The sequence below is a fragment of the Homo sapiens genome, chromosome 7 (assembly GCF_000001405.40).
Source record: "Homo sapiens chromosome 7, GRCh38.p14 Primary Assembly".
NCBI classification, from domain to species: domain Eukaryota; kingdom Metazoa; phylum Chordata; class Mammalia; order Primates; family Hominidae; genus Homo; species Homo sapiens.
Genome location: NC_000007.14, coordinates 132,189,394 through 132,212,688, shown reverse-complemented (window position 1 = coordinate 132,212,688; position 23,295 = coordinate 132,189,394). Strand labels below are relative to the sequence as shown.

The following is a 23,295-nucleotide window of genomic DNA, read 5'->3' as shown; positions in this document are numbered from 1 at the left end:
CTTTCTTGCTTCCATTTCCCCTGCCTCTCTTTCCCTCCTCTTTTCTGGTTGGATGATCAGAAAGGATGGAGAGAACAACCACTCCAAATCATGGAATCATGATGAGTTAAGATGGTTAGGGCCTTGGAGTCCCACTCAACTGATAGATAAGGAAATTGAGTTTCAAATGGGCTGTGATGTGCTCAGAGTTCCAGAGCTCATCAGCAGCTCACGGGTACTAGAGTTAGTTCAAGCCTTCTCCCTCTGAGCCTAAGTCTTGTTATGGTGTAACTCGCAATGGCACAGGGAGATATTTGGCTCATGTTTGCTCTGGGACCTGGGAGGGACAGCTGCCAGTTGCCTAACTGCCTAGAACCCCTCCCTTCCACCATTTCCCAGTGGCTTCCTTTCTGCCTTACTCTGCTGAGGACAAGTGTTAAGGTGCGGGGTGAGAAGCCTCTGCTGAGAGTTGGTGGTGAGCCCATGACAAAGCACCATCAGAAAGAACACGTGCGTCATGCTTTTGATGATCAACCTGCCCAGGAGCCATCTGTCTTGGCATGCCCCAGACAGTGCCACAGATGGAGGAATCTGGGGGATGGTGGGACCTGCCTGGCACAGGGGATGCCCAGGCCATGCTTGTGTTATGGAAGGCTTCACGCCTGCCCACATCCATCAGCAAGAGCTAGAATACTGACTCTCCTCCACACAGCTCCTGAGAATACAGCAACACACCAGCTCCTACCACTCAACTGGGCAGAGCACCCACCCTCCTTCTTCTGACCTCCTTATGTCCCCAGCCCTCCCTGGACAAAGCTGATAGCCCCAGGAAAAAGGGGCCCAGTGATTCACTGTCTCCATCCCAAAGGCCATCTGGGCTCCTGTGGCTCCAGGGCTAAGTGTGCCCATTGCTAGCATCCAGAAAGAGCTCAGAGTGTTTCTACTCTGAGAGGCATTTCTTTGGGGCCAGGACATCCTAGAGCTTGGTCAGAAGCTTTCTGGATTTATGAGGCCTCTGGGGCCCATTCCAGAACATTCTCAAACATCAGATTCAGCCCATTTAGGGAAGGCCCTCCCAGCCTCCCTGCGGCAGTCAAGACTCACATTCCAGGGGCAGAACAGGGCCCAGGGCTTTGCCTCTCTGCGGAGCTTCTCACATGGTCTGTGCATCCCAATTCTTGACAGCCTGGAACTTAGCAGGCAAAGAAATCATCAGTCCCCAGTGGGAGGGGAGGCCTAGCCCGCAGAGGCAGTCTCTACTAGGGTAGAAGGGTGCCAGGAGGAGGCTACAGGAGTGTCAGAGAATCCAGATTGCATAGGGAAGGTTTTCATGGAACCCAAAGAGGGTGGGGACCACCTCAAGATATGACACTAGGACTTCGGATTCCTCAGTTTCATTTCTGTCCTCAGTGCATTGCCCACTGGGTGGGCACGAGCACCTCAGGGGTCGCCTGTGGGTGTGTCCATGGAAGGGTGGAGACAGGGAACATCCGGGTTATGTCTGCAGAGGTCCTTGCTCATTTGGTTTCCTGGCTGCCCAGCCTGAGCCATGCCCTCTGTCCCCAGGACTGCCCCCAGCTGCTGCGAGTGGACAAGATCCTGGTGCCCGTGGAGGTGATCAAGCCTATCACGCTGAAGGCCAAGAACCTCCCCCAGCCCCAGTCTGGGCAGCGTGGCTACGAATGCATCCTCAACATTCAGGGCAGCGAGCAGCGAGTGCCCGCCCTGCGCTTCAACAGCTCCAGCGTACAGTGCCAGAACACCTCTGTGAGTCGCCCAACCCTGCCCACTGCCAAACCAGGCCCCAGTCCCACCCACATCACTGTTGTCTTCTAGGAGCCAAATCAGCTCAGCCCTGCAGTCGTTTCCTCAACACGCACAAAACTGCCTACCTGCTTCCCCCATGCCTGCTGGCACATCCCAGCCCCACAACACCTGCCCCAGCAGCGTGCTGGGTTCTGAGGTCACCCAGGGCCTGGCCCTAGTTGTAAATGTTTTGTGATGAAGGTTGTCCGTGTAAGACAGGATTAGAAGGGATATTGGACCAGCCGTGGAGCTGTGAGCCCTGTTTATGGGCAGACGCTGGGCTCCAGGTACCTTCATGTCCATCCTCTTTCCTGAGAAGCTCTGAAAGCCCTGCGCCCTGCCTTCTCAACAAGCCCCAAAGACATCCCACCACCTTCACACCTACATAGAGGCTGTTTCTCAGCAGAGAAGGCTTCTGAGACAGACCAAGCATTGGCAGGAGGAAATAACAAATGGGAAGGAGCTGGCTAGGAGAGCGCTGCTTAGATCAGCGCAAACCCTGCCCAATGTGTGGCAAATCCACATTAAGCCCAAGCCCTATCAATGAGTAGTCAGCAGCCCCCAGGCTGCCGACAGCTGTCTACCTAATTCCTAGGTACCCCACAGTGAACCCCACCTGTGTATCACCTTTCCTGACTTCCCTTCGCACCTGCCATGTTGCCTTTCCAGCTACTGCTCTGGTCTCTCTCTTTCTTTCTGGGCTCCCTTCTTTGTGCCCAGATGCTCAGAGACAAACACTAGACACATAGATTCAGAACATTTTCAAGTCATAGGAACTTTAAAGTTTTTCTTCACTGCACAAAAGAGAAAGTAGAGGCCTGGAAGCAGGGGCAGATCTAGATTTGTGGGGTGAGACATACCATTTGGAGACCTTCTTTAAGACCAAAATATAATAAGTACAACTTAGATACATAGGCCTTAGAAGGGGCTGAGTGTGCAAGTGTAGGCCCAGAAGCTGAGCTCTATTCACTTTGGTGTAATGCACCCCAAAATGTGCCAGAAGGTAAGTGACTTGCTCAAGGTCACACAACTAGTGAGTGGCAGAGGTGGTCTGGATTTGAGGACCCCTCCTATGTCACACTGCTTCCTATGTATTCTTCTAGTTGCACCTGGGCACTTATGTGCAATGTCTGTATTTGGAGATGTGATGTGCGACCAGGAGAGTCCCAGACAAAGGATTTCGTGGGACACTCTACTCTTCCTGCAGGAAGTAGTCCAGGGGGAAATGGAGCTCAGAGAGGCCCACACACTTGCCCTAGGTCACTCAGCATTACAGGGATAGAACTGGTCACTGCTCTCACAACCTCTGAAACCCCAGAAGTTGTCCCCATGGCATCCTGTGTGCCCATCCCCCTCCTCCCCTGGCTGCCAGGCTATTTCTCAGATTTCTGCAGCACTCCAGATTAAACCTGCAAGCAAAGGAGATATGAAACACCTCCTGTTTCCCCATAAATTCTGAGTTCAAGCAGATCAGCCCCAAGGGTTTGGCTCAAGTCATTCTCTCCAAAACAAGACCCTCCCTATAGAAAGAGACCTGCATCTGGGTCTCACATTTGACTCTGCAGAAGGCTGGTGAGGATCTGAAGCTGTGGGGAAAACAGCCTTGTTTCTTGAGAGAAGCTGACCCAAGGATCTGGGGATGTCAGGAGGGTGGATAGAGCCTGTGGGCCTCAGATGGCTGTGCCCAAGAGAGGGACACTAGTGTCATAAAACTGGGCCCCATGGCCTGGCCTTTGGTTGACTCCGTTAATAGACAAAGATACTCCAGACAACAGCATGAGTTAGTCTTCTAAACCTCTTGGTCAGAAGATCCCTTGTGCCCTGGGGACTAACTTTAGCTTCCAAGAAGCTCGCTGGGACCCTCTGCCATTCTATTGACTGCCAGAATTGGAAGTAGATTGTGTTGAAATGTCCTCAGCATTTCCCAGGCCGAGAGCTGCCTGACCAAATGAGTCCTTAGCCATCACAGGGAACTCCCCGAACGTGGGTGTGAAATCAGAGCCTCCTGGGAACAAGAGCACAAACAGGGTCTCCGCAGCACCAGGCAGGTGGGTGCTGTCTCCTCCTTCATGGTGTCCCCATGGGGTACCTGGAGCTGGCACCATGGTCGGCACCCATGGGAAAAGGAAGGGAACGGCTGGGCTCCAGTGTGCGCACAGTCTGTCTGTCGGGTGTTGAATCCTTGGACCTCAAGAAATCAGCAAGTGACATAGCTCCTCCCCTGGGAATTTCACATCTGGAAGCCTGATGTCCCAGGACACAGTGGTCATTTCTACTTCCAGCCCCTGTTGGCATTGGAGCTGGAGGCCTGGAAGCTGCGGCTCCCTTCACCAAGAAGAGAACCTGATGTTGAAGCTCCTGGCTCATGCCCTGCCCCCAACTCAGGACCTGAGGAGGGCTCCTGCTGCGCTCTGGCCCTCTGGAGTTCAGAGCTGCAGCCTCTCCATCCACCATGGGCCAGGTCTGGGTGCCCCCCAGGTCACTGCTTCCAAAGCAGCTCAGCTGACTTTGCCTCCATGACTTTTTAATTTTGACACCATTAGTTGTAGGAGAGGTGATTTCTCTACCATTTTAAAGTCTAAGAAAGAAACTGAGGCAACAGAAGGTGTGCCCCTCAGACAGTAGAATGCAGCCCTTTGCTTACTAGGACACACTGGAATCACATGGTTCAGGAGGGCTCAGCTCTGACATTTCCTGGGAGCCTCTCTTTTCATGGGGGGCAGTGGAATCCCAGTTTAAATGCTGGTCTGGGTCAGGTTGCTTCTTACCATCAAGCAATTTCCATCAAATATCTTTGGGGTCATGATCGGGGCAACCCACCCCCACCATAGTTACAGAAAACAGGGTACCATCAGACAAGAATAGACCTGAGAGGGTATCTACTTAATCCTGTTACAGATGAGGTCTCCAAGGCCCAGAGAGGGCAAGTGACCATCTCCAGATCACACAGCAAGTAAGGCACAAATTCAGAACTTGAATCCAGTTTCATAACACATCCCCTAATCAAAGGTTGAGCAAAGAACAGCAGCGAAGGGCACTTTCTACCCCAGCTTTGGTGTTATTCCTGGGAGTACAGTCTGATCAGCCTCAAAGAGGATTGTGTGGAAGGACAAATTTTTTCATTTCCTAAATCCATGAACAATTGGAAACAGCCTTGGACAAGGGATCTAACAAAGAAATCCATGAGTTTGTGATGGCAGAAGGAGGTGGGTGATAAATTGGTCTCAAAGGAGAGCAGAGAAAAAAGAAGAAAATTCAGTGTGGGAGTGACACTGGGTTGGGGTGGTGGAGCCATTTCCAACCCCATTATGCGGGGACAGGCCTTGAGCCAATGGCTGCAGCCCCCAGGAGCTGGTGGGAGGAGGACAGGGCAGACTCACAGGCAGCAGTGGAGGGGAAGCAACTGTGGGTATTCATGGCCTACTTTAGACCAATGCTCTAGGAAAATGTCAAGTGCTGCTAATAATAGTGCGTGGCCACCAGCTCTCGGAGGCTGCCAATCATGCCAGTGAGGGGGCTGCAAAGGGCATCTGGCTGGCTGAAGTGCTGGTCGTGAGGGCCGGGGCCAGGCCCAGCTTCCGCGGACTCATGCTGGCCTCTGGTTTTCTCTTGGCACCGTCATTTACCACGTGCAAAACAGGGATAGGGAAGCAATAGGAAGAGAACTTGTCCCCTTTCTACTTTACTGGGACATGGCTGAAAAGGGGTCAGCAGAGCCCTCTGGACTAGAGATGGACACAGTGTACATACCAGCTTCTTGTGTGGCATTAGGTTGTTGAGATTTGTTTGCCCAAATGGCAGAACTTTCCGGCAAAATATCTCAGATCTTGGGACAAGGGACTGGCTGGAGGAAAGAATGTCTCAGTTATATCGAGGTCTCATTTTTGCTTTAGAAGTAGAAGCTGAGGTTCACACTTTCCCAAGGTAATGGGGAAAGTCATCCATTAGCCCCGCATGGTGTGCCAGACCTTGATTGAGACACTTAACCTCCCGGCCTCCAGGAGCCTGGAGCCTGTCCTCCCTGGGCTCTGAGCTTTGTGCAGATTAACTGCCTGCTGATTACAGAGAGCTATATAAATGCTAAGTGGAGTGGAGATAGGGCGATCCTGGGGGACGGGAGCCCGTGGTCCAGGCTCCCAGCTGTCTGCAGAGGCAGAGAGGCTCCATCTGCCATGCCCACCCCTTTCCCCTACCCTGCCCCAGGCACGTTGCAGGTCATCCACAGGAGAGAGAGCCTCCAGGAACAATGGAAACTTCCCTAGAGACAGAGCGGGGCTGAGGGGGAGCACATGGGGTTAACGATTTCTCTAATAGTCATTAGATCCCAGGATTGGGGGAGAGAAAGAGAAAGAAATGCCCAGCACATGTGATCCTAATGTCTTTTTTATTTTCAATTTCTTCAAAGAGAAAATTTATGCTTGCACACATGCGCACACACACACACACACACACACACACACACACACCAGAAAACATAAGCGTTCTCATATGTATACATCCCCATACATATTAAGGGTCTGGCACAGAAACACTCAATGCATGGCTGCTATTATTTTTCTGCACAAACATAAACATAGGCAACACGAATATAGTTTTGCATAGCATCCCCAACTGCATGCACATAGACTAAAATACGCAATCACATTTGAGCGCTTAGACTATATGACAGATACTATGCTCGGAGCATGCTGTGCATGATCTTGAATCCTTATGCCAATCCAAGGAGATGTGTACTGCTTTGAATTCCCACTTTACCAATGGGGAAACTAAGACTTGGATTATCTGCTCATTTCACACAGCTGGTCACTGGCAGAACCACTTTGTGGAACTGTGTGTGTCTGTGTGTCTATGCGTGTGTGTGCACTTATGGACATACAGATAACATGGAGATGTGTGCTAACGTCTCCTCAAGTCAGCATGCACATAAACACGTTTGAGTACACAGATGCTCACATGCATATGTATGTAGGATTCTTTGCCTTCCTTTCTGTGGGATGTCAGGTCCTTCCTGAGAGGGGGCATGAGGATTTATTGATTTTTGACTAACACTCCTGGTCACCACCTGCTGCTTCTACTTTGTGTCTTGGCCAGACCTAGGCCTGAGAGCAGAAGCCAGGCTCCCATCTTGACATAGCCACTGTCAGCATCCCTCCTACAGGTCAGAGCTCAGCCTGCCCCAGCACTGCCTCTAGGTGATCAGATGGTGCTCAGCTTGGGGTGAAACAGCCAGCCCTGCTCAGAGCCATCCAGGCAGCAGCTTGAAGCCTGGTGAGATCACCTTTCCCCACTGGGACTTTCAAGGAGAGAGATGGGAAGGATGGGAAGAAATTGAATGTGGCTGGAGGAGGGAACTGGAAGCCTGGAAGTTCTCTCTCTCTCTCTCTCTCACACACACACAAACACACAAACACACACAAGGAAGGAGGGCATCCCTCTCTTATACCCTTCTCCCTCCACTGGGGCAGTCATCTGCCTCCCTACTTCTAATAGACTGCAGGGATTCTCTAACTTTAACCAGCACCGGAATCACAGAGTAGCTCTCAAAATGCTCCTCATCTTTAGAGATTCCAGTCCGGCAGATCTGGGATGGGCCCTGGAATCTGCATTTTAGTAGGCCCCCCGGGTGATTCTGCTGAAGGAATCCATAGACCACTCTAAGAGCCACCAGTCTAAAGTGGAAGAGGTTTTCAGGACAACTTAGGACCACCCAGCCTGACCCAGCTGCAGAGACAACCTCTGGGGAGGTGATGATTGAGTTCTATGATGATCAAAGTTTCCACTGTGGTTTCTGCAGGGCTAGGAAACTTTGCTTTACTCTGTGAGCTCGGACCCTGGCCTTGGCCCGGGTGCCATTGGTCAAACGAGAGATTCAACGACGGGGGTACGTTGCAAACTCCTCCGTTGTGGGACAAACACCGAACCTAGCTCTCTGGCCCTGGCACGCGTTGCCAGGGAGGAAGTTAGAACTCTGGATGCTAGGGCAGAGCCAGGAGTGGCTGGAGGTACATCCCCCCGTGGTTGCTGTATGAGGGCAATGTCAAGTCACAGTCTGTTCTCATGGGAGCACATTCCGTAACTCAGGAATTTAGGGCAATTTTCTGCATCGAAGATTAGAACATCTCCTTTAGAAGCTCCTACAAATAGGGTGCAGACCTGTCCCTGCCCAGAGGCAGTAGCCCTCTGAGATTCTTCCCAGATGTGTTTTCCCATGTCCTGTGGCCACCCTCCCTGTCCATGAAGGTGCCATGGCCAACTTGGAGGACGGAGCCTCAGTGGCCTCCTGTGATATCCATCAACATCCCCCTAGCCCAGCCCTCCAAATTTTTAATTCAAATTAAATTTGAATTAAAACAGCCTGTAGGTCCTGCAAACACAGCTTCAAACCTGGTCCTCTGGACTAACTTCGTTCAACAAATTGCCAGGCCTCAGCCCCTCCCATGCAGAAAATCTGTCTCAATTCCATTCTTCCATCCTGCCCCTTGTGGCGAGCAGAGTCGGCTGGAATAATGAGAAAATCACCAGGTAGGGGTTGGAAATTGCTGCCCAGGGTGGGCTCTAAGTTCCCTCTGCTAACCCTCTTTCTCTGGAGACTGAGAGGGGTCTGCTATGGGAAGGCAGACTAGGGGCCATCATGCCTGGGGACTGCCCCCTCCACCATCATCTTCAAGCCAGCACCTCCCTCTTCTCTCCACCCTCCACCTCCTATCTCTCAGCCAGGTAGGGGAGCAGGACCCTGAGGAGCCCTCCGAGGACAGGAGCACAACAGGAATCTGGGCGTGAGCCTGGCTTTGAGCTGGTGACTGTCTGCAGCATCCAGGCCCAGATTTCCAGATTTGTCCTCCAAGGTCCTCAGGATTTCCCCCGTCACCAACAAGCTCCCATCTAGTCCTCTTCTCTCTTAACCCCCAGCCTCTCATCCCCCTAGGGTGTAGCTCCTTCATTTCTTAGTCTCTGCAACCACCGCCCTGCCTGGGAAGTGATCACCCCTCCCCAGGTCTTTGGTAAAGCATCCACCTACCCTGGACATTTCCTGGAAATTAGAGTTCCCCAATCTAATTGCAGACTTGGGAGGGCCTAGGGACCAGGGTTTCCCTGGGCAGCCAGAGAGGAAGTGGACTCCTCCCTCGGTTTTACCTCTCAGGAAATTCCAGGGGATGGGAGCAGGCCTCCTGCCTGAGACCCACAGGAGATGACCTAGTGGCTTGCTCCCATCTGCTCCTTGAGCTGGCATCCACAGGGGCATGCTTGGAGGCCTGGCCCACCCCTGTGTTATCTTCCACCCCCTCTGATATGCACTTCCCTGCCTGTACACACATGTGCATGTGCATACTTGTATGCACACAGGTAGACACATGCACACAAGCACAGTCTTGGCCAGTCTTTAGCCTGTGAGCTCTTAACGGCCGTAGGCTGATCATTTGGGCCCTCTCTAGAACTCTCTGTGACCCCACTTTCTTCTTTCCTCCTCCCCGACCTGGCTGCAGTATTCCTATGAAGGGATGGAGATCAACAACCTGCCCGTGGAGTTGACAGTCGTGTGGAATGGGCACTTCAACATTGACAACCCAGCTCAGAATAAAGGTGTGGAAGGGCTGGGGCCTAGCAGGGGAGGGAGGGGAAGGGATGGGGTAGAGAGGGAAGGAGCCGTCCTGCATTCTCGCGGGAGTCATTCTGCCCCCGCCTCCTAGTGGCTGTCCCTCTCCCTCTGAGCCCCTCCTTCACAGCCTCTCCACCATCTGTGCTTCTAGGTTACTTCTTGAGCATGGGCTCTGTAGAGCTTGACCTGGGCTGAGGGCTTCTGGTAGGAGGTGGTGTGCAGAGGACTTCCTGGGAAGGGCTGCTGAGTGCTGAGTGAACGGAGAACCCCAGAGCTTCCCATTTCAGTCCCTCTGCTCAGGCCTGGACTTTCTTTCAGGTTCTTTTTTGCATCAGAATGGCTAAGGGGGCAAAACTGCCTTTGTGCCCCATCACCCCAGGCTGGCACTGCACTCTTTGTCTCTCTCTGGGCCCCTTCTGTCCCCACTGCCATTCCCAAGCACCCCTTGTCCTTGCCCTTCCCCTCTGCAGTTCACCTCTACAAGTGTGGAGCCATGCGTGAGAGCTGCGGGCTGTGCCTCAAGGCTGACCCAGACTTCGCATGTGGCTGGTGCCAGGGCCCAGGCCAGTGCACCCTGCGCCAGCACTGCCCTGCCCAGGAGAGCCAGTGGCTGGAGCTGTCTGGTGCCAAAAGCAAGTGCACAAACCCCCGCATCACAGAGGTAAGCCGGGGTCGGGCCTCCTGCTCCAAATGGGCAGGCTCCAGGCTGCTGTGCCACACCCTGTGGAAACTCTGCCCAGCCGTGGTGTCGGTCACCCAGTAGTCACTGGGTGGACTTGGTTGCTCTGCCTGGCTGGATGGCACCCTAGTTTTTCTTCACGGCTTCCCCAGAAGCTTAGGCTTGGATCAGAGACTCTTTTTGGGGCTCGACTATCCTCAATGAGGGGCCCAACTGTCCTGTTGGAGTCTCTGAGGAGCTGTGTCAAAAAGGACTCAGTCCTCGCCAGCCCCTTCCTTTGTCTCTAAGAGCCTCGGTGGCAAGGCCTGAAGTTCCACCTTTGGCATCCTCACCAAGTGTCAACCCGTGATTGGAGGTGGCATGGGTGTTGGGGCACAGCCTGGCTCTGGGGAGGTGAAGAAGGTCACAACAGAGAGGTCTTTGAACTCCCCCAAAGCAAGCCCTGAGCTGTAAGATGGAGCACAGTTTAGGGGGACCAAAGGGACACAGGCCATGGAGCAAAGACCTGGGGGAGGAACACGGTGAAGAGCCAAACACGCAGACACTGGGTCCCAGAGAATAGGGTTTGAATCCAGGCTCCACCAGCTGTTTGCTGAGTACCTTGGGGCTAAATCACCAGTATCTCCACACCTCACCTTCCTCACATGTGCGGTGGGCCTGAGCGTCCCTCTCACATGGGAGCTGGAAGGATTTCACACGCACCTACAGGCAAGGTACCTTGCTCTGGGCCCAGCTCATGGGGATCTCACCAGCCTCCTCACTCATCATCATTGGTAAAATCATTCCCAGGGATGTCTAAGCCAAGGAAATCACTGCCCCTGGAGTTCATTTAAGTAGTCCTGTCTCTTCTCCTCCCACTCCTGCACTCTTCCAGCAAGGCTGGAGTCCCTTGCTCCCTCTTAAAATAAAAAAGAGGGCTGCATCTCTCTCTCCACATGCTCCTCCCCCATGGCACCATGTCATCTGTGGCACCATGGCATCTGTGCCTCCAGCTCAGGGCTGAGCACACAGTAGGTGCTCAATACCTCTTTACCACTGCGGATGCTGGTCAGGATTATGAAGCAGCAGGAAGAGGGAGAAGGAGAGAAGACAGAGACTCAGTCTCTGCCTCAGTGAACAGTGAGGACGAACTGGTACCGGGCTTTGTGCACAGTTTCACAAATGCACACAGTATATGATCACTTAACAGTGGCAGGCACAGTCATAGGCCATATATTTGTGTGATGCCTAATAGTTGCACCACACCTTTACACCCCTTACCTTGTCAGTCCAAACAACTACCTGTTCTATTAGGGTCCCAGGGCTGCCGTCACAAGGTACTGCAGACTAGGCAGCTTGCACGACAGAAATGGATCGTCCTGCCGTTCAGGAGGTAGACGGTCAAGATCAAGGTGTTGGCAGGGTCGGTTCCTCCTGAGGGCTGTGAGGGAAGCATCTGTTCCCCATCCCTCTCCTTGACTCGGAGATGGCCATCTTCTCCCTGTGTAGCTTCCCATCATCTTCTCTTTGTGCATTCCTCTGTGGCCAAATTTCTTTTTCATTAGATCATATTGTACCAAAGCCCATCCTAATGGTCTCCTTCAAATTTGATTGCCTCTCCAAAGACCCTGTCTTCAAATAAGGACACATTCTGAGACACTGGGGTTAGAACTTCACCCTGTGACTTTGATGGAAACACAATTCAAACCCATAATGTCTCCCAAGGCCAGGGTTATCATCAGGTTATTATTCTCTTCCAGACAGAGGCTAATGCTCAGAGAGGCACACATACTCTAACCAAAGTGTCAGTAACATGGTCCTGAATCCCAGATCTCCTGAGTAATGTTCTCCTAGGTTATTGTTCTCCTCCACTACAATGGTGAGACTTCATACCCCCACTCACAAATTGTGCACGTGCACCAGGGATGTGTGAAAGCAAGAAGATTCTTGGCTTTTGTGGGCCTCCTACACATTTGTGTGTGGGCTTTTGTGGGCCTCACCCAGCAAAGCAGCCCCTTGGGGTGGCCCTCAACATGTGCCCCATGCTTCAGACCCTTTATCTTCCACATTCCTGGCTATACAGGCTCTGAGAGTTTCTCTCAGTCCCCACTTCAGTCTTTTGCATGGTAGGAATCTAAACAGTGATTCTCAGACTTGGAGGAAATATTTGCAGAATTAACCTACAGAATGATCTGGAATAGGAGGACAGGTGGACCTCTTCTCTCCTCACTGCCCCTGACCCCATACCTGGGCCCATGTCCTCCCTTCCCAGTCCCCACCGCTCACCTTCACACCTGCTCTGTGGAACGGCTCCTCCCAGAGCCCTCAACAAGAAACCAACCCAGGGGGCTGCTGCGCATGGCAGTGTGTCTGGTGCCATCAGTGGGACTTGCTTTCTTCTTGGCCTATGTCCAAGAAAATCACAGGGAGGAGACGGCAAATTAAACATATCTCCCTGTGACAAAGGCTATTTACTGCCTCCATACTGGTGTTGGCCCTAGGGGAACCTGGGAAACGAAGGAGTGGGCCAGAGATAAAACTCCTTTTTCAGTATGACAAGCCAGGGCTAGAATATCATGGAGACACTGCTGCCAGATGCCAGTGGCACTTTGGGGACTGGCTAGGCAGGCATTTGGGAAGAACACAGACTCTCCCTCTGACCTTCCCCACATCTGTCCACCTCCCTCTCATAGAAATGGGCCTGTGTCTCCAGGGAAGCTGTTTTTCCACTGCAATGGGAATATACTTATGCACAGGCTCACACCCCTGCACACGCTCACTCACAATCACACCAACCCTCACGGGGATGTGTAGGAGGTGGGAGGTAGCTTGACTGTGGCAGGTAAGCAGTCTCACCTGGAGAAGCTGCCACTTGGTGGGGAGGGCAGCACAGCCTAGTTCCTTCTGCTTCCCCCATCTTTCACCCTTACCCCAGGATGGAATTCCCACTTGTGGCCCTGCAGGGTTGAGGAGAGTTGGATATGCTGAAAAGGGGTAGAGATGGACTCTCTGGGCTCCTTCCATTCTAATCCTGCTGACATTGGCTAAGGTCCAGGTGCTGGTGCTCATAGGCACCAGGAATGGAAGCATGCCCTTCTCTGGTCCATGAAACGCCAGGATGAGATTGTGTTAACTGTACAGCCCTCACCTCAAAGCAGGCACTTGGATGCTGAGTCCTCACATTTTAATCATGGGTTTTTGACACTGATTTAGGAGGGAAAGCCAGTACACTTTGACCTGTGTACGAGGGTAAAATTTAAATTAAACCTAAATCTATGTGGTACCAGGCCAAACAACAACGGCAAAGGAGTTGTGACAAATGCTCATAGTAATTCCGGAAAGATGTTTGGACAGTTGTAGGTTTTATCACATGACAACGCAAGACATAAAGATGGTTACTGAAAAGCCCACAAGGAGGGAGACAGACCTGCTCTCAGAGACTCAGGATCGGAGGAGGAGGGGGCTGGGAGTGGGAAGGATGAAGAACAGGCACAAAGAATTGTTGCCATGTAAGTGGCACAAAGAAGGTACCTTGGAATTTAAATGGAGAGAGAAGAAGAACACAGGGTTATGGGGCAGTGTCATTTGAGAAGGATCTTGAGAGGTGGGTAGGGTCACATAGGTGTAGGGGGCTCTGAATGGATAGGAGGGGTTTTTATTTTCCTTGAGAGTAGAACCAACACAAGCAAATGCTAGAAGGCATGAATCCCAATTTTCTACGAATCACCCGGTAGCATTGCTGGTCATGTTCCATCCTCTCATCTCTTCTATGAAATGGAAAGATGTACCATGGGCTTTGCATACTGCTCCTAGTGACACACACAAACATGGACTGCTTTCCTAGAAGCTACTACCCATTGATTACCGCAGGCTTTGGGTGCCCTTGGTGACTTCAAGCCACTCAGGGACTCTGGGGCAGATGAGACAAGAGCCAGCAGCCTCTCCTTGCCTCATCAGCAAGTGAGTGGCAGTATCTTGGTGTTTGTCTAATTATTTCTCTTCCTCCCTCCAGATAATCCCGGTGACAGGCCCCCGGGAAGGGGGCACCAAGGTCACTATCCGAGGGGAGAACCTGGGCCTGGAATTTCGCGACATCGCCTCCCATGTCAAGGTTGCTGGCGTGGAGTGCAGCCCTTTAGTGGATGGTTACATCCCTGCAGAACAGTAAGTGAAGCTGCATGCAACACAGGAGGAACAGGGGAGGGAAGACGGGTTAGTATTAGGGATGTCCTGGTCAGCAACTAGGTGCTCTCAGAGCTTGTTGTGGGGGAAAAAGGAGAACCACCCCAATATTTTAGAGTTGGAGGGTGGACTCCCACAACTCCCCGCCTGCTCAGTTAGCTAGCTGCCATATTGGGGAAAGTGTAGAGAGGGAAAGGAGAAATAGCTGAGAGAGAAAGGTGACTGTTACCTACTTGGGGCATAAGGCCGCATGGAGGGGAGACAAAACAAAATGAAAATCTGCAAGAGAAGTGTAAATCCAATTCCTTCTGCTGTCCTCAACTTCCCGCTCACATCCCCCCCAGCACTGATCCTGTGCTACTCTCTGTGGAGACTGACAATGAAATTCACACCCACTCTGAGGCTTGTGGGTGCCTTAGATTATTTTTCTCTTTGAAAGTCTGCTGGCCCACTGAATGGGTCATTCAGCAAAAGACCTTGACCTGTAACCCACCTAGTAGAGGAGGTTTGTGAATCATGCATGGCCTTGTAAATAAGTAAGCACCATTTTCCAGCCCAGCAAACACAACTATGAAATGTTTACCAGCATCATAGAATCTATATTCCATACCATCTTTGTTGCACTTCCTGGAGTGAAATCTTGTCACTTGTGCTGTATGCATAAGTTATTGACTCTTCGCAAGTCTTCCCCTAGGTATGTGAGTGCAGTTTCCATTTCTGCTTGCTGGGTCTTGCCTAGATTTACTAATTCTGAACCATCAGTACAGCCATCCTCAATTCCTCCTGATTTCCATGAGATCTCCCCAAGATGCTCACAGCAGATCAGATGGTTTAAGGATCCAGTCTTGGTAGGACTCACCTCTCTGGTCCATCACCACTTAGTTACCAAAAGATCTTTCTATGGCTCTTTCAACTTTCTGACACCTTTCTAGAACGAAACCAAACTAGGCCACTGCTAATATATTGTGATTTGGAGAATTTTAAAATATCCTACTTTGGATTTACATAGCCAGATATCAAAAGTATTATTATAAAGCCACATGATTAAAATATTGTGATACCAGTTAGATCAGTAAAGTAAGATAGAGGACCCAGAAAAAGAATGCTAATGCATACAAATTTAGTATGTAATAGAGGTGATATTTCAAATCACCCAAGGAAATACCATTCAATAATTGATGCTGGTTAACTCCCTGGAAAAAGTACAATAGCAGATCCTTATTCCACATTACACACCAAAATAAATTCCAGATGGATTAAAGAGTTAAGTTTAAAAAAAATGAAACTGTGAAAGGATTAGAAGAAAATGCAGGTGGAAATTTATTCAATTTCAAGAAGGGGAACTTGTGCGAAGTATAACAGCAACAGAGGAAATTATAAAGAAAAAGATTAGGGGATTTGAGTACATAAAACCTTAAAACTTGTGCATCAAAAATCATTGCAAGCAAAATAAAAATGTGAATGATAAACTGGGAGTATGGTTATACCCTATTACAGTTAATAAATACTTTTTCTTAATATATAAAGAGCTTTTATAAATAAAAGGCAAAGATCACAAAATGATCAAAGAGCATGAACGTACAATTTATGAGATAAAAAAGAACCGAAAGTCATACGAAAAATAAATGTTTAACAGCAGTAGTAATCAATTAAATGCAAATTAAAACAATAGGGAGTGGTTTGTGAAAGTTAATGCCTGGTGCAGGAGAGAGTCATGAGAAGTAGCTGACTCCTTCACTCATGGTGTAAGGGGAAATTGGGACAAACTTTCTAGAAGGAAATTTGGAAATGTGGGTTAGAAGCCTTTAGCCTGGCCATCACACATCTAGAACTTTCCCTAAATAACCAGAATTCACAAATATTTATTTTCAAGAATGTTTATTTCAGCCTTATTTATAATAGTAAAAACTCAGAAGTGATTTACATGTGTAAAAATAGGGAATTCCTCAGTTCAATAAATTATTGTATAAGCACTGGAAAGAAAACTACACAGCCATTAAATCTGATATTATAGAAGAATCATGACCAGACATATACTCAAGGTATATTAAGTGAGAACACAGGTTCTTGGAACACAGGTTACAAAGCATAATATAGAGTTTTGAATCAGTTTTGTAAAAGAAAAGCAAGACTGGCCACAGAAACACCAAAATGTTGACACTGGATATTACACATGGGTGCAAGGCAGCGTGGCATGGTAGGTAGGCAAGAGCTTGGACTTCACAAGGAGATTCCTGGGACTAGAGCCCTGGCTCTGCCACTTACTTACTGGGTGAATGTAAGCAAGTTGCTCAACATTTTATTTGTCTCAGTTTCTTCATTTATAAAATGAGGATAATAATGGCATCTACCCCATGGTCTTATGGAAAATTACATTCTGAATGGTGCAACTAGTGGGGGTTTCAGTATGACAAGTGCTTTTATGTACTTTCTATTTTGTTTCAAACACCAAACATGCATTAATTATGTGATCTGGATAGAAAGTTATTATTTGTTCAGGAACCTTACTCAAAAGTTGTTTCTAAGAGAAACATAAAACATAGAAGCCGTAAAGTTAAAGAACAACCAACTTAAACACACAGATACTTTTAAACTTTAGTGTGGCAAAAGACATTGGAACCACAGTTGAAAGATGACAAGCGTGGAGAAAATCATTGCAATATTTATAACAGACAAAATTAATACTCCTAATTCAGACAATCTATCAGCAAGAAAGAGGGCTTCAACAGAAAAGTCAAAGGAAAGGCTATATGAGATCTTAAAAACACACCCATGTGAAAATTTATGAAACCTCACCTGTAATTTGCAAAATAAAAATAAAAATGAGATTTTTTCCCCCATTATATTGGAAAAACCTTAAAAGGATTGTTCATATCTGGTGTTGGCAAAAGAGTGGGCCATCAATAGAAGTGCATGGTCCAGACTTCTTGGAACATTATTTGGCTCTACCTACCAAATATTAAATACACAAACCGACCCAACAGGTTCCTTCCTTAGAAATCTATCCTACTATACAATGCCTAAGGATGTGTGTGTCAGTTGGTTCATTTTGCAGAATTATTTGGAGTAGCAGAAAAATCAGGACAACTAAACGTTCATCAATAGGAAGATGGTTGTGTAAATGATAGTGCAATCATCAGATGAAATACTGTGAGGCTGCTGAAAAGAAAAAAGTCGAGCCGTGTCTACAGAGACAGGAAGGAAGGTCCATGCTATTGTGCTGAGCAAAAAACAGAAGTGTTTATAGCAGTGGATATGTTATGTTTTGCTTTTATTTTAAAAAAACACATATATCTTTCCTTACGTATGCATGTTTATAAGTGTAATTGTATATATGTAAAAACACATTTATGTTCATGTGTGCCTGCATATGAAATACAAATATAAATATACATATGTGTGTACGTATATATGTGTATATGTATGCAAATATATGTATTGGGCAAGTTGCCTAACTTTTCTTTGCCCCAGTTTCTTCATTTGTAAAATGAAGAATACATATACATATATACATAGATATATATACACATATATATTTATATATTATGTCTGCAAAGATACATACATATACACACACTTAACTTTTAAGTGTATATATAGTTTTAAGTTTTAAGAAGAATGGGGCACTCACTTTTTACTGCCATACTCTGTACTGTTTGACTGTTTGATTATTTTCAAAGGGTATAAACAAATTTTGTAATCAAAGCAATAAAAATTTTTAGAAAGGAAAAAGTTCACACACGCATACACACACATACACACACACACTCAATTATCCCCTCACCCAGCCTGGAGGCTGGCTGGGAAGCAAAAGCACTTCACTGAGGCAACCCAATCATCGGGAGCAGAAAGCTCCCAGGTGGGGACCAGAAAACCTTAGGTCTGTTCCAAGTTCTGGTTTGACTTGCTGCAGCCCTTGGGTAAGTGGCTTTGCCTCTCTGGACTCTGCCAGCCCTATTCCCTAAGGGTTTTGGCTAGAACATGCCCTCCAGTCTAGTTGACAACTGAGTAGATAATAATGAATTAGGGACTGAACATCTAGGGTCAGAACACAGGGACCCTCTTCTAGGCTCCCTCAAAGGAGATCCCATAGGTCAGTTTTCGTCATTGCCTGACAATTAAGGAGAAGCCCCTGCTAGGAGGAATTAGGATATCTTCCCCTTCCTCCCCTACCTGGCCATCCCTGAGATCCTACTGTGGAGAAAGGGACCTGGGTAGGTGCTGTGGGGTGCAGGGTCTTGGCTGGAAGTCCTGTGACCCATGGGATTTCTCCTATCCTCCCTGCAGGATCGTGTGTGAGATGGGGGAGGCCAAGCCCAGCCAGCATGCAGGCTTCGTGGAGATCTGCGTGGCTGTGTGTCGGCCTGAATTCATGGCCCGGTCCTCACAGCTCTATTACTTCATGGTGAGTCTTGGCCAGCAGTGATCTGGCTGGGTGCAGGCCACAGAGCTCATTACCATGATTGCTGGGCCCCTCTAGAGCTCTGTGAGCAAACCCAGGGCAAGGGCCTGCCCTGCAACCTCCCTCAGTTCATGAGACTCCTGTCTTATAGTGAGTGAGAGCACAGCCTTTGAAGTCTGGAAGACCTGGATTCAAATCCAGACTTTTCTGTGCCTGGCTGTGTGGTTTCAGGTAAGTTGCTTTAGCTCTCAGGGCCCAGAGTCCCCAGGTGGGTGCATGGCAGTGTGGCATGGTAGGTAGGCAAGAGCTTGGACTTCACAAGGCAACTCCTGGGATTTGATACCTGGCTCTTCCACTTGCTAACTGGGTAAATGTGGGCAAGTTGCTCAACATTTTGTTTTTGCCTCAGTTTCTTCATTTATAAAATGAGGATAATAATAGTATCAACCCCATGATCTTGTGGAAAATTACATCAATGTATTTATGACTTCTAGTATCATTTGTTTTATTATTTCTGTGGTTGCCACCATTGCTTCCATTTTCTGGCCTGTCCCTGCACACTTGTGGCCCATTATGCCATCCTATCTCCCTCACACTACTCCTTCACCCCAGTGTCTTAGTCTGTTTACTGCTGCTGTAGAAGAATGCCTGAGACTGGGTAATTGATAAAGAAGAGTCATTTATTTGACTCCTTGTTCTGGAGGCTGGGAAGTCCAAGATCTAGGGGCTACATCTGGCAAGTGCCTTCTTGCTGCGTCACCTCGTGGCAGAAAGCGAAAAGTCAGGAGACTGTGTGCAAGAGAGCAAGAGCGGGAGAGGGTGGAACTGCCTTTCATAACAAACCCACTCTTTGATAATAAACATCTTCCTATGATAGTAACATTAATCCATTCATGAGGGCAGAGCCCTTATAAACTAATCACCTCTTAAAAGTCCAACATCTCAACACTGTTAAATTGGGGATTAAGCTTTCAAGACATGACTTTGGAAGATGCACTCAAACCATAGCACCCACTCACCATTATCCCTATTTCATGACCTCATTAACCCCTGCCCACCTCTCACCTGCATACCCAATCCATTTCCCTCTACCCACACAATTGCCCCCACCTCTCACCCTACCACCCCTTTCCCCATCCCATGGCCTTTCTGAGGATCTCTCCCCAGTCCTTAAATTCCTTCCTGCCTGGAACCTCTCATCCCTTCAAAGGCTGCCTGACAAGTAGTTCTAGGGGACAGAGGCTTTTGGAATCTCTCAGCCTTGTGATTATGGAGATGGTGGAGACATAAACACATTCCCTGCCGCACACACCCATCATTTTAAAAACTAAACCTCTCAGATTAATGACAGCTGTAATGGTATAATTTCCTCATGATTCTGAGCTGCTTTTGGAAGCTGGAAGCCTGAAGTGATGGATTTTATGCCTGGCCATCATGTGCCCTGAAATATGTCATGGGGAGTTTGGCTTTCATTCTCCTTCCTCTCTGTCTCCCTCTTTCCTCCTTCTGCACCCCCACCCCTCGCCTCCATCTCTCTCTCCTCCTTTCCTCTCTCCCTTCCTTCCTTCCTTGCTTCCTTTCTCCCTCCCTTCCTTTCTTCCTCTTTCTTTGCTTCCTTCCTTCCTCCCTCCCTCCTTTATCTCATCTGCCTTCCTCCTCCTCCTTCTTCCTTCTTCAACTGACAGCCATTGATCACCTTGCACAATGCCTCTCACTAGATTATTTAATGAGTGCTTGTTTAATTGAGTTGGATTTTATGACTTGATGGTTCTGGCTGTGGGGGTTAATGGATGATGAATAAGACCCAACACAGCACCTCCCTCAGGAGGCCTACAGTCTAGAAGGGGAGGTGAAAGCAACTGAGCTCAAGTACTTGACACAGACTTGAACATGGTCAGGGCCAAACCTTAGAGAAACGTGAGTGTCGTGCCACACCATGACTGGGCCTGCATCTGCTCCACCTCTGCTCTCCGAGGGCCAAACCCCCTCTGGATGCAGTTGGCTGTCACAGAATGCACATAGGAATTCATAAAATTAGAAGAATACGCACATATAATGGGGTTCATGGACGAGTCATTTTCCTTATTTGTTTAGGATTTGTACCCACCACCTTCTCCTGAAAGCATGAGGGAATTTCCAAGGTGAACCCAATAGACATTAAGACAACTAATGAGAAATGTATATATATTTGTATATAAAGCATGCATATATATGTGTGTGTGTGTGTGTGTATATATATATATATAGTATATGATATAGACATAGAGACAGAGAGAGAGAGAGAGAGAGAGATGGAGAGAGGAGGGATGACATTCGCCAGGTATTTGCTAAAATTGGGCAAGAAATCTGGCTTTGAAATTTCCTGGCAGCCAAAGTAAAACGGGAGGAAACTGCTGCATGGCCAAAGCAAGCACTGGACTTCCTTGGCCAGCCACTGCCCAGAGCAGCTTTCCATCCTGAGGTTCTTGGCAGTGATCCTGAATGATAAAGTGGACAGGGCTAGAGCCACCTCCAACTTACTAAGCTGATGCTTCTTTTGAACCTTAGCTGCCTCTGCCCTGCTTCCCCAGTCAGGCCCCTCACTCCAGCGGCTCAATCAAGGCCACCATCACCTGGCTGTTCACTTTCATCTCCACTTGGCCCACCCAGGCTGTCAGCTCCCATAAAGAGTGCATCCTCCTCTCTTGCCTATTCCCATCAGTGATCCATCCCCTAGGCCTACAATCCTGTTGGGCTGTGGCTCAGCATCCCTTCATTCCTGACATCAATCCATCACCATGTCCCAGAGTCTTCCTTTTCCCATTCTGTTTGCCATCACAACGGCCTCCTTAAATCTTTCCCTTGCTTTTCTCTCTGAACCTGTTGTAATCCATCTACCATCATGTCAGCCGCCACCTCAAGAAGAGCCAAGGCTCCCCCTCCCTGTAAAACATTGCCCAGGCTCCTCTGTCTGCTTCCCCATTCAATCCTATTTTGCCAGCCTTTGCATGATCTGCCACCTTATCTTCTCTATCTCCTTCTCTTGGTTGCACGAGCCATATCCTCCTTATTCGTCAAAGTTGTGCTCGGGACCCAGTCCTCAGTCTGCGAATGCAGAGGCCTGAGCTGTGGATATCCACAGGCCCTGCACCCCACCCCATTTACTGGGACTCCAGACATCTGACTGCATCACACCGCTCAGTGGCTCCTCTTTGTGCCCTGCTCCTCGTCAAACCAGTCAGTCTTGGGAGCCACTTGCCTTGGCCTGCCACCTGCCCAGAGCAATTTTCCATCCTGTGGTCCTTGGCAGGGACCCTGGAGCACACAGTGGACAGGGCTAGAATCACCGCCACCTCATTAAGCTGATGCTTCCTTTAAGCCTCTCTGCCTCTGCTCTGCATTTGCAGCCAGGCCCCCACCCCTGAGGCTCCATCAAAGATCAGCTGAAGCCCAGGACTTTCTTTTCTTTGGGATCCCCACAGTGCATAGGCAGCGCTAAACCTCCGGACACAGGAGAGTCTCCTGGGGTGGGGTGACCATTAAACAAAATGCCCTGGACCTCTCCCTGCCTCCTGCCAGGACTAATTAAATCCAATGCTACAGATCCTGGGTAATTCTGAGATGCAAGCTGGGCTGAGGCCCCCTGACCTAGGAGAAAGGATGTTTCCTGAGTAGCTCCCATGTACCAATGCACTCAGCTCTCTGCTTTTATTCTTATAATGAGCCTGTGTGCTACACATTGGAAAGTCTCATCTGCCCTCAGGAAGGGTCCAGTCTTGGCTGTGTGATTGTTCCTACCCTGGAGAGGGGTGTGATTGAATTTAGGGTATTAAGGGAGACTTCCTAGAAGAAGCTGGAGGCAAAGATGGAATTTGTATAATACAAATAGAATATAATTTTCCATGTGGATCTGAAGTGGTGGGAGGCTGTTCCCAGCATAAGGTCTAGTGCACCAAAAGATGGGAACAGGAGGGAGAAGGAAGAAGGTGGGTGGTGAGCAGGAGAGACTGAAGCAGAGGCAGGTCAGGACAGATGACAGAGGTTGCCACAGGCAAATATGCATTGATCTGGTAGGTCCCTGAAGCTCAAAGATTTGTCATTTTTCTACTTAAGGGACATCTTTGAGGAATGGCTCTGGTGCCACATGTTCACTTGGGAAGACTTTAGGAAGGAGATAGTGCTAGGGACACCAGTCTCTTTCTCTGGCCCCTTGCATTTAAGGGTTGTGTCATTGAGGCCCACCCCCATCCCTCACACAGAGTTTCTAGGGATTCCAGGTGGGAGTGAGGGACAGAGGTCCCCATGAGTCTCCGCAGGGGGTTGAGAAGGGACAGAACCCCCATCTATCACACTTTCCAGAGTCTCCGAGCCCTCATGGCCTTCTCATCTACCAGGCAGCTTGCAGGTGCACTCTTTGGGCCCTACACAGAAGCCCCTAGCTCCCCTGGAGTTCTGAGACAGCCAGGAAGCTCTTTCCCCAGGACTTGGGGCATGTTGGGGAGACCCTTTTTAGTACCAAGGCTAGAGGGAAGATTTGTCCTCTCCCACAATCAGGCCAGACTCCAATTTGTGGGTTTATTCATCAAAAACCAAATGCCAAGACCAAGAGGCCCCAGATTAACACCCTGGGCTGTCACTAGCTGTTCCTAAAGGTCTCCATGCAGGGAATGCTTTCCCCCTTCCCTCTACCTC

At 49.1% G+C, this 23,295-nt stretch overlaps 1 protein-coding gene across 8 annotated transcripts in view, besides 3 other annotated features; it reads left to right on the top strand.

The window, feature by feature from the left end:
• Positions 1-23,295, top strand: part of PLXNA4 (plexin A4) — a 525,349-nt gene that overhangs the window by 436,000 nt on the left and 66,054 nt on the right. For 7 of the 8 annotated variants that reach the window (XR_927546.3, NM_001393897.1, NM_020911.2 and 4 more), the window contains 5 exons: positions 1,546-1,746; positions 9,270-9,366; positions 9,853-10,043; positions 14,053-14,204; positions 18,510-18,627. Coding sequence is in view for 7 of the 8 variants with exons in the window: in NM_001393897.1 (NP_001380826.1) it covers positions 1,546-1,746; positions 9,270-9,366; positions 9,853-10,043; positions 14,053-14,204; positions 18,510-18,627 (759 nt within the window). In the remaining variant the exon portion in view is untranslated. The remainder of the gene's footprint in view (positions 1-1,545; positions 1,747-9,269; positions 9,367-9,852; positions 10,044-14,052; positions 14,205-18,509; positions 18,628-23,295) is intronic. The other variant, XM_017012779.1, reaches the window with a different exon arrangement.
• Positions 9,942-10,479: an enhancer, noted in NCBI's record as "H3K4me1 hESC enhancer chr7:131886969-131887506 (GRCh37/hg19 assembly coordinates)". NCBI's record gives its function as "activates a minimal SCP1, AML or CMV promoter by ChIP-STARR-seq in primed H9 embryonic stem cells {active_cell/tissue: H9 hESC(primed)}" and the evidence as "EXISTENCE:reporter gene assay evidence [ECO:0000049][PMID:30033119]".
• Positions 21,380-21,879: an enhancer, noted in NCBI's record as "H3K4me1 hESC enhancer chr7:131875569-131876068 (GRCh37/hg19 assembly coordinates)". NCBI's record gives its function as "activates a minimal SCP1, AML or CMV promoter by ChIP-STARR-seq in primed H9 embryonic stem cells {active_cell/tissue: H9 hESC(primed)}" and the evidence as "EXISTENCE:reporter gene assay evidence [ECO:0000049][PMID:30033119]".
• Positions 21,880-22,381: an enhancer, noted in NCBI's record as "H3K4me1 hESC enhancer chr7:131875067-131875568 (GRCh37/hg19 assembly coordinates)". NCBI's record gives its function as "activates a minimal SCP1, AML or CMV promoter by ChIP-STARR-seq in primed H9 embryonic stem cells {active_cell/tissue: H9 hESC(primed)}" and the evidence as "EXISTENCE:reporter gene assay evidence [ECO:0000049][PMID:30033119]".